Below are 14,889 nucleotides of genomic sequence, written 5' to 3' on the forward strand. Positions count from 1 at the left end.
CTTGTTGGACAAGATATTTGGAATTTAAAAAAATCTCATTTGTGTATATTAACTAAGATTTTAAAATAATTATGTCTGTTTACCAAGTATATTACTGTTCTTTAGAAGAGTCTTACTAGTCAGAAAGAGACAGTTACAAGTACAACCCCATCCACAATTTCACTTTCCATGGCTTCAGGTATCCATGGTCAACCACAGTCCAAAAATATTAAATGAAAAATTCCAGAAACAATTCATAGGTTTTAAAATGTGCGCTGTTCTGAGTAGATGATGAAATCTCACTCCATTCTGCTTGGGATGTAAAACCTTTTGCCAGCATATCCATGCTGTCTACATTACCCACCCATTAGTCACTGAGTAGCGAGCTCAGTTTTCAGATTGACTGTCATGGTCTCACAGTGCTTGTCATCCAGTAACCTTTATTTAGTTCATAATGGCCCCAAAGTGCAAGGGTAATGATGCTGGGATATTGTTAACATTGTTCTGTTTTATTATTACCTGTTGTTGTTAATCTCTTACTATGCCTAATTTGTAAGTTAAACTTCATTATGAGGTATGTATGTATAGGAAAAAACATAGTATATGCACAGTACTATCTAAAGTTTCATGCATCCACTGGAAGTCTTGGAACATATCCCCCATAGATAAGGGAGGAATACTGTATACCTTAAAATTTAACCATTGGCATTTTCTTCATTCGTTTTTTTGGGTAGCAGTAACTAAGGGATTTGTAAGTTATCAGATTTTCACAGGAGATGATATTATTGGGGTAAATTGTATGTAGATAGCATGCACCCCTGGAAGGAGTGCCCACACTTTGAGTACACAAATGTGTGCATGCACATACACACACACACACATACACACACACACACACATTCCCCTTTTTAATTAAAATGAGGAAAACACACTTGGAGAGCCATAATTTCATTTTATAAGCCAAGAAGCTAGGACTAAATTGTGGTTTTTTTCACCCTTCTAAGTTGACTTTTTTTCCTGCTTCTCTCATGACATAGTAGTCATTTTTTACTTAACGAAAATCTGATGTAATGAAATGACATTTTACAAGCTTTAAATGAAGCAAATGTTTGAATTCTCTTTAAGTGGCCTTGTTCTTTTGCTTTCAAAAGTAAAATATGTTTTGTTTTGTGTTATTTAGCACTGGGCGTTTCAAGTTTTTAATAGCTTTATTGAGATTTTGAGAGAGAATTCACATGACATACAAGTCACCCATTTAAATTGGACAATTCAATGATTGTTAGTATATTCACAACATTGTGCAGTCATTACTACTCAATTTTGGAGCATTTTCATGACTGTGGAAAAAAACTCCATATACCCTTTTAACTATCACCCCCAAATCTCCATTTCCATTAGCTCTAGACAACCACTATTCTACGCTCTTTGTAGATTTGCCTATTCAGGGCATTTTATATAGAAGAGAATTATGTAATATAGTCTTTTATGACTTACTTCTTTTCACTAAGCATAATGTTTCAAGCTTCATCCATGTAGCACATACCAATTCTTCACTCCTTTTTATGGCTGAATAGTGCTCCACACACATTTTGTTCATCAGTTTATCCATTGATGGACTTGATTTCCACTTTTTGGCTATGTTATGAAGGATACTGCTATGAACATTTGTGTATAAGTATTTGTGTGTTTTCATTTCTCTTGGGTACATACCTAAAAGTGGAATTGCTGGATTGTAAGATAACTCTATGTAAACTTTTTGAGAAACTGATAGACTGTTTTACAAAATGGCTGCACCACTTTACATTCTCACTAGCAGGGTGTGAGGGTTCCAATTTCTCTACATTCTCATCAGTACTTGTTATCTGTCTTTTTTATTTTAGCCATTGTAGTAGGTGTGAAGTATAATCTTATTGTGGTAGTTTTGATTTGCAAACTTCCTGTGTTAATATTGAGTTGGGTTTGTTTTTGAACACATTTATTTTAGAGGAAGGGGCAGCAGATGCTTCTAAACCACTGGTGGACTAGGTCAGAGGGTATTATGAACCTCATTTAAATTTATTCCCAATTAACACTCATTGTGATTCCCTAAGTCAAGTAGAACTTAGAATGTCCTTAGCACAATCTTGTTTATGTTCAGGTGCATTTTTCATTCTGGATTACTGTTTCCTAATGTTAATTTAAGATTATATAGTATTGCATTTAAGCCTTGTCAAAGGAAAATGGCAAAATTTGACTCCTGGTTGTAAAAGACAATATCCTAAAGATGTTGTCAGTGATCTTTATGAGACACACATCTTTGTTAAGTAACGGTTTTGTAATAAATTCAGAAAACATGGTTAAATAAATTAAAGCAGAAATTAGCTCAGGAGTGGTGGTCAGAAATATTTTTTGGATCTGAGCCAAAAAGAATATTTAAAGCCTTTGATTACTTTGAATTGCCTTTGTCAACAATTTAGTCAAATTATGAAAGGAAGACAGTAGCATTTCAATAATAGCTTTAATTTTTATCATCCAGTGTAACAAATGGAATCTGTTATGGTATCCGTTATCAATGGATTAGTTACAGTGTGAAGTCAGGAGGCAATGCAGGTTTTAGTTATTAGTGAACCTAACTGAATAATTTTAGGTCTTCTGGTTTGAGTGCTATAATTACGTAAATAATCTGTGGAAGGGAGGTTTGCTGAGGTGCCCAATGAATCATTTTTACTGCATCTACAGATGCAAGTCATAAAGTTTAATCCGTGTGGGTAACCTGTAATATGTGCTGCTGATGTTAGCATAGATTCAGGCTGAAACAATCCTAATTGCGATTATTTACAACACATTGGAGAGAGCCTATGTGTGACATATTACTTGGTTATTTTTTTAAATGACTCGTGGGGGTGGGGGAGTGTTAATGTTAAAGGCATACTTGAATCTTGGAGATTATAATTAAGTTTTATTCCCTACTCCCAGATAACATTATATATATATATATATATATATATATACACACACACACACACACACACACACACACACACACACACACACACCATACTTGGTTAGTGATGATTAAAAAAAAGTAGTTGTGGAGACCTAAATGTAAAACACAAAACTATAAAACTTCTAGAAGATAATATAAGAGAAAAAGTGAGAACTTTTTTTTTGAGACGGAGTCTTGCTCTGTTGCCCAGGCTGGAGTGCAGTGGTGCCATCTTGGCTCACTGCAACCTCCGCCTCCTGGGTTTAAGGGATTCTCCTGTCTCAGCCTCCCAAGTATCTGGGATCACAAGCTTGCACCATCATGCCTGGCTAATTTTTGCATTTTTAGTAGAGATGGGGTCTCACCATGTTGGCCAGGCTGGTCAGGAACTCCTGACCTCAAGTGATCCTCCTGCCTCGGCCTCCCAAAGTGCTGGGATTACAGGAGAGAGCCACTGTGCCTGGCCAAGAGAAAAAGCGAGAACTTTTAAGATACAACATCAAAGGCATGATCCATAAAGGAAAGAATTGATAGGCCTGACTTCATTGAAATGAAACACTTCTGCTCTGTGAAAGACAGGGTCAGAGAATGAGAAGACAAGCCACAGACTGGGTGAAAATATTTGCAAAAGACACATCTAGTAAAGGACTGTTATCCAAAATTACAAAGAACTCTTAAAACTCAACAATAAAATAATGCAACAATAAAATAAACAATGGGCAGAATAGACTGGGCATAGTGATTGACTCCTATAATCCCAGCACTTCGGGAGGTCAAGGTAGGAGGATTGCTTGAGCGCAGGAGTAGTTCAAGATCAGCCTGGGCAACAGCAAGACCTCATCTCTACCAAAAAAAAAAAAAAAAAAATTAGCCAGGCATGGTGGCATGTGCCTGTAGTCCTGGCTAGTTGGGAGGCTGATGTGGGAGGACCCTTGAGCCCAGGTGTTCAAGACTAGCTTGGGCAACATAGCAAGACCCCATCTTAACAACAACAACAAAAAAGGCAAAAGACATGAACAAACACCTCACCAAAGAAGATACACATATGGCAAACAAGCATATGAAAAGGTGTTCAGCATCATAAATGTGTACAAACCCATAGAATGTACAACACCAAGAGTGAACCCTTACGTAAACTGGGTTTTGGGTGATAATGATGTGTCAGTGTAAATTCATTGATTGTAACAATTGTGCCACTGTAGTGGGGATGTTGATAGTGGCGGAAGGTTGGGTGTGGGGACAGGGACTCTGTACTTTCTGCTTAATTGTGCTGTGAACCTAAAACTGCTCTAAAAAAGTAAAGTTTATTAATTTACTTCTTTAAAAAAGTGGTTGTAGAGCTATTTACCTTTTCAAATGTTTGAGTCCCTGCTTTGTTCTGTACTGGGTAATGCCTTCCAAATGTCATAGCCTAGAAGTTCTGAAACGAATGGACTGTGAGAAATTTGAGGAAGTAGTGGTTTCACTTCTGGGTGTTGTGGGCTTTCTGATTTCTAGAACCTGACTTTGTCATGCTTTCTTTTAAATTTAAATTTTTTTGTGGAGTTGGGGTCTTGGCTGGTCTTGAACTCCTGGGCTCAAGTGATCCTCCCACCTGGGCCTCCCAAAGTGCTGGGATTACAGGCATCTGCCACCATGCCCCTGTCATTGCTTTCTTTACTAAAGTATTTTAGGACCTAATAGTCCAGGAAATACATATATGTATATTGGACAAATTCATGTCTGTTTAAAGAATAGGGTAGTCTGAGTGTTGTCCTTCATTGGTGCTAATTGGGAAAAGTTTTTTGAGGAAATGGACACTGAGTAGAGAAATAGGAGTAAGTAGGAGTGCAATTTGTTATTTGGAGAGTGTATGTTATTGTATGTTTTTGTGGTTCATGTAAATACCATGGTTGAAGATGATCAGAATTTTTTCAAGCATCTGAAAATTATGGTTTAAGTTCTAAAACTATTGTTTATCATCAACTAAAAAATTATGCATTCTCAGATTTCTCTTATTTTCAAGATTATTTATGCTTGCTTGTATTGGGCCCCTTATGTACGTAATGGGACTTTAAAAAATATTCATGTCCTTTTAGATAGGGAGTATAGCCACATGGTTCAGAAATTAAAGTGATTTAAAAACAGTGGACATTGAGCAGCCTTGCTTCAGAACCTGTCCTTGTTCTCCTTTCCTGCAAATTCTTTTTGTGTAATCTTCCAATGCTTTTTAAAAATGCAAATAAACAAATATTTTAGGAAGATTTTTTTTTCCCCAGAAAAAAAGGTGATGTGATTTATTATCTGTAATTTGTTGCATATTAAAAGAACATTCCAGTACTTTCATAAATATAAGGGTAGATATGGCAACCCCTTCCTTACTATGCCAGTTCTTCACTTGGTTGATAAAAGTAAAATTATTTATTAACGCCTTAACTCATCCTGAAAGATAAATGACTACGGGGGAGGCTAAAAACAAAATAAGTAACTGTATACTATGCCAAGTTTGCAACAACCTCATGAAAGTATGTACACTTAGCATTCCCATTTTATAGATAAAAGAAACTCAGCCCATATAATTAGCAGGTATCGGTGATGGGATTTAAAACTGGGCCTTTTTTTTCCTTAAAAATTATGAACATTTACAAACAAAGAAATGTAGAGAGAAACTAATGAAGTCCCATATACCCATCGCACGGATTAAGTAGTTACAATTTTATATTTGTTTGATCTAGTCTTTTTGTTGTTGTTGTTTCTTAAGTATTTTAAAACAAGTCCTGGATATTATTTTGCTTCTATTTGCTTAAAGTACGCATCTCTGAAAAATGTTGATCTCTCTTATATAGCGACAGTGCCATTTTGTTAAACTCCTCCAAATAAGCAAAAATGATAAGACAAAAAGTTGGCCAGGCGACCAAAGCTATCAACTCCAGCCTAAGGAAAATTCAGCAATTTGATTATGAAAGGGGGAGGGGGACTTCTTAATTGTACATTTTACACAGATTTCCACAAGGACAGTAATAGCTGACCCACTTCGAACTAGATAAAAGATACAGAGGCGTGTGGCAGCCAAAGCCATCATGATGTTGACATGATCTTCTTGGTGAGCTCCAAGCCACCTTTCCTAACTAGTTTTAGACCAATCACAATGTACATAAAAGTTTACATGTTTTAATTAATTCTTTTCATGTGAGAGGTATAATGAAACTGAGTTTTAAATAAGTCAGGCATTGGTTTTTAATGTATGGAATTTTTCTTTATGAACTCATAGTATGAAATGTTTTTTCTTAAAAGGTCTTTGATTTGCGTCAGTGTCATCGACAGATGCAGCAGCAGGCGGCTACTGCACAAGCTGCAGCAGCTGCCCAGGCAGCAGCCGTGGCAGGAAACATCCCTGGCCCAGGATCAGTAGGTGGAATAGCTCCAGCTATCAGTAAGTATGCTTTTCATTCTTTTTTAAAGGTATAATAGTTGATATTTTTATCTTGATTTACTCAGTTGATTAGTTTCTTTGAGCAGTAATAGAAATTAAAGTTTTTTTTTACTGGGATGATGACATTTTTGAATTGGTAAAATCTGTTCTTCTGTAATAGTTGCTTTTTGCCTATGACCCTGTTTGCATTCTTTTTGTATCAAAAATGGAGTATGGGATGAAGGAGAAAGGGGATGATTATTATATTATACTGTTCTATCTCCTCCTTTTTTGTTGATGCTTATTATAATTCTGCCTCACCAGCCAGGGTGGGTTGTAATCACTGAAGTGCTTGGCTTTATTCTAGTAAGGAAAGCATATTTCAATTTCAGAATTGGACACTTTTCCAATTTTTTTTTTAAAGTATGCTAAACATGGAGAGAAAACTAAGTGAGGGTGGTATTTTGATAACTTGTAGACTTTTTTTTAATTTTAGGGTAAAATTGAACTGTGTGCCAGGTTTCACACTGATGGGGAATTTTTTACTGCAGAGTTAAACTCCTGACTATAGACTTTTATGATGGAAACACGTGGCACCCATCTTCCACGTCTGAAGGCATAACTAGTGATTCATTCAACCCCTGTTCTTAACCTCTTCAGTGTGGTAAGCAAATCACACTGGCTAAGAAAACTGCAGTGGCCCTGCAGGTTTCTCTACAGTACATGCAAATTCCTCCCATTAGTTTCATTGTAATATTGATGAATGCAGATGGACTATATGACTGTATGTTCTGACTGGAAAATTAGATGCAGTCTCCATTGTGACTTATGTTCAGGAGTTTACAATTTAGAGGTAGATTAGGCATATTCATTGAGAGAATTTGATTTTTTAAAATTTGGGGTGATACCATTAATTTGCTGGTTTCAGTGTTATAAACATGCTTTTACTGAAGAATCCAGAACTATTATTAAGTTTCATATTCTCATCAGTTGCCACCACTGAGTAATAGTGTATTACTCTGTTACACTTTGAAATTGAGAGAGAGACTTCATCTCGGTCATCTAAGAGGTCTTAGTGGAACTAAGAATATTAACTGCTTCATTATTAGTTATGTCTTATTCTGAACTAGGCTGTTTAGACAGTAAGGTTTTTAGAAGCAACCTGTGGACACGCACTACCTCTTAAAAACAAGTTGTTTCTTATCCCTTCACCTCCACTTCTAAAGAAAAAAATAGGTGAGGTGTTGGTGGATTGTGGTAATTTACTTTATAATTGGTTGTAGCTAGAAGACACATGTGAAATGTAAAGTTCCTTAACCAAAAGTGTGCAGCTTGTTGATAAAGTTTAGATCTACTGTTACTTCTTGGCACTTTAGCAGAGAAGTTATATGCTGAGGAGAATGAAATACAGAAAGCTGGTCACTTGATTAATTTAGAATGTAGGGAGGATGGGAAGAGATCACCCTGTCCCTCTGATGTCTTCCAAATCTTTTCTGTTAGGTCTGTCAGCTGCTGCTGGAATTGGTGTTGATGACCTTCGTCGCTTATGCATACTCAGGATGAGTTTTGTGAAAGGCTGGGGACCGGATTACCCAAGACAGAGCATCAAAGAAACACCTTGCTGGATTGAAATTCACTTACACCGGGCCCTCCAGCTCCTAGACGAAGTACTTCATACCATGCCGATTGCAGACCCACAACCTTTAGACTGAGGTCTTTTACCGTTGGGGCCCTTAACCTTATCAGGATGGTGGACTACAAAATACAATCCTGTTTATAATCTGAAGATATATTTCACTTTTGTTCTGCTTTATCTTTTCATAAAGGGTTGAAAATGTGTTTGCTGCCTTGCTCCTAGCAGACAGAAACTGGATTAAAACAATTTTTTTTTTCCTCTTCAGAACTTGTCAGGCATGGCTCAGAGCTTGAAGATTAGGAGAAACACATTCTTATTAATTCTTCACCTGTTATGTATGAAGGAATCATTCCAGTGCTAGAAAATTTAGCCCTTTAAAACGTCTTAGAGCCTTTTATCTGCAGAACATCGATATGTATATCATTCTACAGAATAATCCAGTATTGCTGATTTTAAAGGCAGAGAAGTTCTCAAAGTTAATTCACCTATGTTATTTTGTGTACAAGTTGTTATTGTTGAACATACTTCAAAAATAATGTGCCATGTGGGTGAGTTAATTTTACCAAGAGTAACTTTACTCTGTGTTTAAAAAGTAAGTTAATAATGTATTGTAATCTTTCATCCAAAATATTTTTTGCAAGTTATATTAGTGAAGATGGTTTCAATTCAGATTGTCTTGCAACTTCAGTTTTATTTTTGCCAAGGCAAAAAACTCTTAATCTGTGTGTATATTGAGAATCCCTTAAAATTACCAGACAAAAAAATTTAAAATTACGTTTGTTATTCCTAGTGGATGACTGTTGATGAAGTATACTTTTCCCCTGTTAAACAGTAGTTGTATTCTTCTGTATTTCTAGGCACAAGGTTGGTTGCTAAGAAGCCTATAAGAGGAATTTCTTTTCCTTCATTCATAGGGAAAGGTTTTGTATTTTTTAAAACACTAAAAGCAGCGTCACTCTACCTAATGTCTCACTGTTCTGCAAAGGTGGCAATGCTTAAACTAAATAATGAATAAACTGAATATTTTGGAAACTGCTAAATTCTATGTTAAATACTGTGCAGAATAATGGAAACATTACAGTTCATAATAGGTAGTTTGGATATTTTTGTACTTGATTTGATGTGACTTTTTTTGGTATAATGTTTAAATCATGTATGTTATGATATTGTTTAAAATTCAGTTTTTGTATCTTGGGGCAAGACTGCAAACTTTTTTATATCTTTTGGTTATTCTAAGCCCTTTGCCATCAATGATCATATCAATTGGCAGTGACTTTGTATAGAGAATTTAAGTAGAAAAGTTGCAGATGTATTGACTGTACCACAGACACAATATGTATGCTTTTTACCTAGCTGGTAGCATAAATAAAACTGAATCTCAACATACAAAGTTGAATTCTAGGTTTGATTTTTAAGATTTTTTTTTTCTTTTGCACTTTTGAGTCCAATCTCAGTGATGAGGTACCTTCTACTAAATGACAGGCAACAGCCAGTTCTATTGGGCAGCTTTGTTTTTTTCCCTCACACTCTACCGGGACTTCCCCATGGACATTGTGTATCATGTGTAGAGTTGGTTTTTTTTTTTTTTAATTTTTATTTTACTATAGCAGAAATAGACCTGATTATCTACAAGATGATAAATAGATTGTCTACAGGATAAATAGTATGAAATAAAATCAAGGATTATCTTTCAGATGTGTTTACTTTTGCCTGGAGAACTTTTAGCTATAGAAACACTTGTGTGATGATAGTCCTCCTTATATCACCTGGAATGAACACAGCTTCTACTGCCTTGCTCAGAAGGTCTTTTAAATAGACCATCCTAGAAACCACTGAGTTTGCTTATTTCTGTGATTTAAACATAGATCTTGATCCAAGCTACATGACTTTTGTCTTTAAATAACTTATCTACCACCTCATTTGTACTCTTGATTACTTACAAATTCTTTCAGTAAACACCTAATTTTCTTCTGTAAAAGTTTGGTGATTTAAGTTTTATTGGCAGTTTTATAAAAAGACATCTTCTCTAGAAATTGCTAACTTTAGGTCCATTTTACTGTGAATGAGGAATAGGAGTGAGTTTTAGAATAACAGATTTTTAAAAATCCAGATGATTTGATTAAAACCTTAATCATACATTGACATAATTCATTGCTTCTTTTTTTTGAGATATGGAGTCTTGCTGTGTTGCCCAGGCAGGAGTGCAGTGGTATGATCTCAGCTCACTGCAACCTCTGCCTCCCGGGTTCAACTGATTCTCCTGCCTCAGCCTCCCTGGTAGCTAGGATTACAGGTGCCCGCCACCATGCCTGGCTAACTTTTGTAGTTTTAGTAGAGACGGGGTTTTGCCTGTTGGCCAGGCTGGTCTTGAACTCCTGACCTCAAGTGATCCATCCACCTTGGCCTCCCAAAGTGCTGGGATTACGGGCGTGAGCCACTGTCCCTGGCCTCATTGTTCCCTTTTCTACTTTAAGGAAAGTTTTCATGTTTAATCATCTGGGGAAAGTATGTGAAAAATATTTGTTAAGAAGTATCTCTTTGGAGCCAAGCCACCTGTCTTGGTTTCTTTCTACTAAGAGCCATAAAGTATAGAAATACTTCTAGTTGTTAAGTGCTTATATTTGTACCTAGATTTAGTCACACGCTTTTGAGAAAACATCTAGTATGTTATGATCAGCTATTCCTGAGAGCTTGGTTGTTAATCTATATTTCTATTTCTTAGTGGTAGTCATCTTTGATGAATAAGACTAAAGATTCTCACAGGTTTAAAATTTTATGTCTACTTTAAGGGTAAAATTATGAGGTTATGGTTCTGGGTGGGTTTTCTCTAGCTAATTCATATCTCAAAGAGTCTCAAAATGTTGAATTTCAGTGCAAGCTGAATGAGAGATGAGCCATGTACACCCACCGTAAGACCTCATTCCATGTTTGTCCAGTGCCTTTCAGTGCATTATCAAAGGGAATCCTTCATGGTGTTGCCTTTATTTTCCGGGGAGTAGATCGTGGGATATAGTCTATCTCATTTTTAATAGTTTACCGCCCCTGGTATACAAAGATAATGACAATAAATCACTGCCATATAACCTTGCTTTTTCCAGAAACATGGCTGTTTTGTATTGCTGTAACCACTAAATAGGTTGCCTATACCATTCCTCCTGTGAACAGTGCAGATTTACAGGTTGCATGGTCTGGCTTAAGGAGAGCCATACTTGAGACATGTGAGTAAACTGAACTCATATTAGCTGTGCTGCATTTCAGACTTAAAATCCATTTTTGTGGGGCAGGGTGTGGTGTGTAAAGGGGGGTGTTTGTAATACAAGTTGAAGGCAAAATAAAATGTCCTGTCTCCCAGATGATATACATCTTATTATTTTTAAAGTTTATTGCTAATTGTAGGAAGGTGAGTTGCAGGTATCTTTGACTATGGTCATCTGGGGAAGGAAAATTTTACATTTTACTATTAATGCTCCTTAAGTGTCTATGGAGGTTAAAGAATAAAATGGTAAATGTTTCTGTGCCTGGTTTGATGGTAACTGGTTAATAGTTACTCACCATTTTATGCAGAGTCACATTAGTTCACACCCTTTCTGAGAGCCTTTTGGGAGAAGCAGTTTTATTCTCTGAGTGGAACAGAGTTCTTTTTGTTGATAATTTCTAGTTTGCTCCCTTCGTTATTGCCAACTTTACTGGCATTTTATTTAATGATAGCAGATTGGGAAAATGGCAAATTTAGGTTACGGAGGTAAATGAGTATATGAAAGCAATTACCTCTAAAGCCAGTTAACAATTATTTTGTAGGTGGGGTACACTCAGCTTAAAGTAATGCATTTTTTTTTCCCGTAAAGGCAGAATCCATCTTGTTGCAGATAGCTATCTAAATAATCTCATATCCTCTTTTGCAAAGACTACAGAGAATAGGCTATGACAATCTTGTTCAAGCCTTTCCATTTTTTTCCCTGATAACTAAGTAATTTCTTTGAACATACCAAGAAGTATGTAAAAAGTCCATGGCCTTATTCATCCACAAAGTGGCATCCTAGGCCCAGCCTTATCCCTAGCAGTTGTCCCAGTGCTGCTAGGTTGCTTATCTTGTTTATCTGGAATCACTGTGGAGTGAAATTTTCCACATCATCCAGAATTGCCTTATTTAAGAAGTAAAACGTTTTAATTTTTAGCCTTTTTTTGGTGGAGTTATTTAATATGTATATCAGAGGATATACTAGATGGTAACATTTCTTTCTGTGCTTGGCTATCTTTGTGGACTTCAGGGGCTTCTAAAACAGACAGGACTGTGTTGCCTTTACTAAATGGTCTGAGACAGCTATGGTTTTGAATTTTTAGTTTTTTTTTTTTAACCCACTTCCCCTCCTGGTCTCTTCCCTCTCTGATAATTACCATTCATATGTGAGTGTTAGTGTGCCTCCTTTTAGCATTTTCTTCTTCTCTTTCTGATTCTTCATTTCTGACTGCCTAGGCAAGGAAACCAGATAACCAAACTTACTAGAACGTTCTTTAAAACACAAGTACAAACTCTGGGACAGGACCCAAGACACTTTCCTGTGAAGTGCTGAAAAAGACCTCATTGTATTGGCATTTGATATCAGTTTGATGTAGCTTAGAGTGCTTCCTGATTCTTGCTGAGTTTCAGGTAGTTGAGATAGAGAGAAGTGAGTCATATTCATATTTTCCCCCTTAGAATAATATTTTGAAAGGTTTCATTGCTTCCACTTGAATGCTGCTCTTACAAAAACTGGGGTTACAAGGGTTACTAAATTAGCATCAGTAGCCAGAGGCAATACCGTTGTCTGGAGGACACCAGCAAACAACACACAACAAAGCAAAACAAACCTTGGGAAACTAAGGCCATTTGTTTTGTTTTGGTGTCCCCTTTGAAGCCCTGCCTTCTGGCCTTACTCCTGTACAGATATTTTTGACCTATAGGTGCCTTTATGAGAATTGAGGGTCTGACATCCTGCCCCAAGGAGTAGCTAAAGTAATTGCTAGTGTTTTCAGGGATTTTAACATCAGACTGGAATGAATGAATGAAACTTTTTGTCCTTTTTTTTTCTGTTTTTTTTTTTCTAATGTAGTAAGGACTAAGGAAAACCTTTGGTGAAGACAATCATTTCTCTCTGTTGATGTGGATACTTTTCACACCGTTTATTTAAATGCTTTCTCAATAGGTCCAGAGCCAGTGTTCTTGTTCAACCTGAAAGTAATGGCTCTGGGTTGGGCCAGACAGTTGCACTCTCTAGTTTGCCCTCTGCCACAAATTTGATGTGTGACCTTTGGGCAAGTCATTTATCTTCTCTGGGCCTTAGTTGCCTCATCTGTAAAATGAGGGAGTTGGAGTAGATTAATTATTCCAGCTCTGAAATTCTAAGTGACCTTGGCTACCTTGCAGCAGTTTTGGATTTCTTCCTTATCTTTGTTCTGCTGTTTGAGGGGGCTTTTTACTTATTTCCATGTTATTCAAAGGAGACTAGGCTTGATATTTTATTACTGTTCTTTTATGGACAAAAGGTTACATAGTATGCCCTTAAGACTTAATTTTAACCAAAGGCCTAGCACCACCTTAGGGGCTGCAATAAACACTTAACGCGCGTGCGCACGCGCGCGCGCACACACACACACACACACACACACACACACAGGTCAGAGTTTAAGGCTTTCGAGTCATGACATTCTAGCTTTTGAATTGCGTGCACACACACACGCACGCACACACTCTGGTCAGAGTTTATTAAGGCTTTCGAGTCATGACATTATAGCTTTTGAGTTGGTGTGTGTGACACCACCCTCCTAAGTGGTGTGTGCTTGTAATTTTTTTTTTCAGTGAAAATGGATTGAAAACCTGTTGTTAATGCTTAGTGATATTATGCTCAAAACAAGGAAATTCCCTTGAACCGTGTCAATTAAACTGGTTTATATGACTCAAGAAAACAATACCAGTAGATGATTATTAACTTTATTCTTGGCTCTTTTTAGGTCCATTTTGATTAAGTGACTTTTGGCTGGATCATTCAGAGCTCTCTTCTAGCCTACCCTTGGATGAGTACAATTAATGAAATTCATATTTTCAAGGACCTGGGAGCCTTCCTTGGGGCTGGGTTGAGGGTGGGGGGTTGGGGAGTCCTGGTAGAGGCCAGCTTTGTGGTAGCTGGAGAGGAAGGGATGAAACCAGCTGCTGTTGCAAAGGCTGCTTGTCATTGATAGAAGGACTCACGGGCTTGGATTGATTAAGACTAAACATGGAGTTGGCAAACTTTCTTCAAGTATTGAGTTCTGTTCAATGCATTGGACATGTGATTTAAGGGAAAAGTGTGAATGCTTATAGATGATGAAAACCTGGTGGGCTGCAGAGCCCAGTTTAGAAGAAGTGAGTTGGGGGTTGGGGACAGATTTGGTGGTGGTATTTCCCAACTGTTTCCTCCCCTAAATTCAGAGGAATGCAGCTATGCCAGAAGCCAGAGAAGAGCCACTCGTAGCTTCTGCTTTGGGGACAACTGGTCAGTTGAAAGTCCCAGGAGTTCCTTTGTGGCTTTCTGTATACTTTTGCCTGGTTAAAGTCTGTGGCTAAAAAATAGTCGAACCTTTCTTGAGAACTCTGTAACAAAGTATGTTTTTGATTAAAAGAGAAAGCCAACTAAATCATTATGTGCTCATTCTTTTTCTTAAGCTTGTGGATGTCTTGGATCTGGAAAGGGTTTCTGATCACTTAGAGAATTTTCAAACTTTAGGTCAACATTTTCCTTTATTGCCTTGTGGCCACTGAAATGGGAAATGTGACATTTAAAATATGACCCTGGAATAACAGTCCCCATTCTTCTCTCATTTTTAAAAGGAGAAGGTGAAGTGATGGTGATCAGAGAGATGGGTGCTAGGGAATTATAAGAACCAGGATGCTTAAAGGAGAGG

General features: G+C 37.0%; 1 protein-coding gene across 4 annotated transcripts in view; it reads left to right on the top strand.

Moving 5' to 3' along the window:
- Window positions 1-14,622, top strand: part of SMAD4 (SMAD family member 4) — a 54,830-nt gene extending 40,208 nt beyond the window's left edge. For 3 of the 4 annotated variants that reach the window (NM_005359.6, NM_001407042.1, NM_001407041.1), the window contains exons 11-12: window positions 6,218-6,356; window positions 7,836-14,622. In NM_005359.6, coding sequence (NP_005350.1) covers window positions 6,218-6,356; window positions 7,836-8,047 — 351 coding nt within the window. In that variant the 3' untranslated portion in view covers window positions 8,048-14,622. Of the gene's footprint in view, window positions 1-6,217; window positions 6,357-6,886; window positions 7,000-7,835 lie in introns of all 4 variants that reach the window. The other variant, NR_176265.1, reaches the window with a different exon arrangement.

Source organism: Homo sapiens, chromosome 18, assembly GCF_000001405.40.
Source record: "Homo sapiens chromosome 18, GRCh38.p14 Primary Assembly".
Classification (NCBI taxonomy): domain Eukaryota; kingdom Metazoa; phylum Chordata; class Mammalia; order Primates; family Hominidae; genus Homo; species Homo sapiens.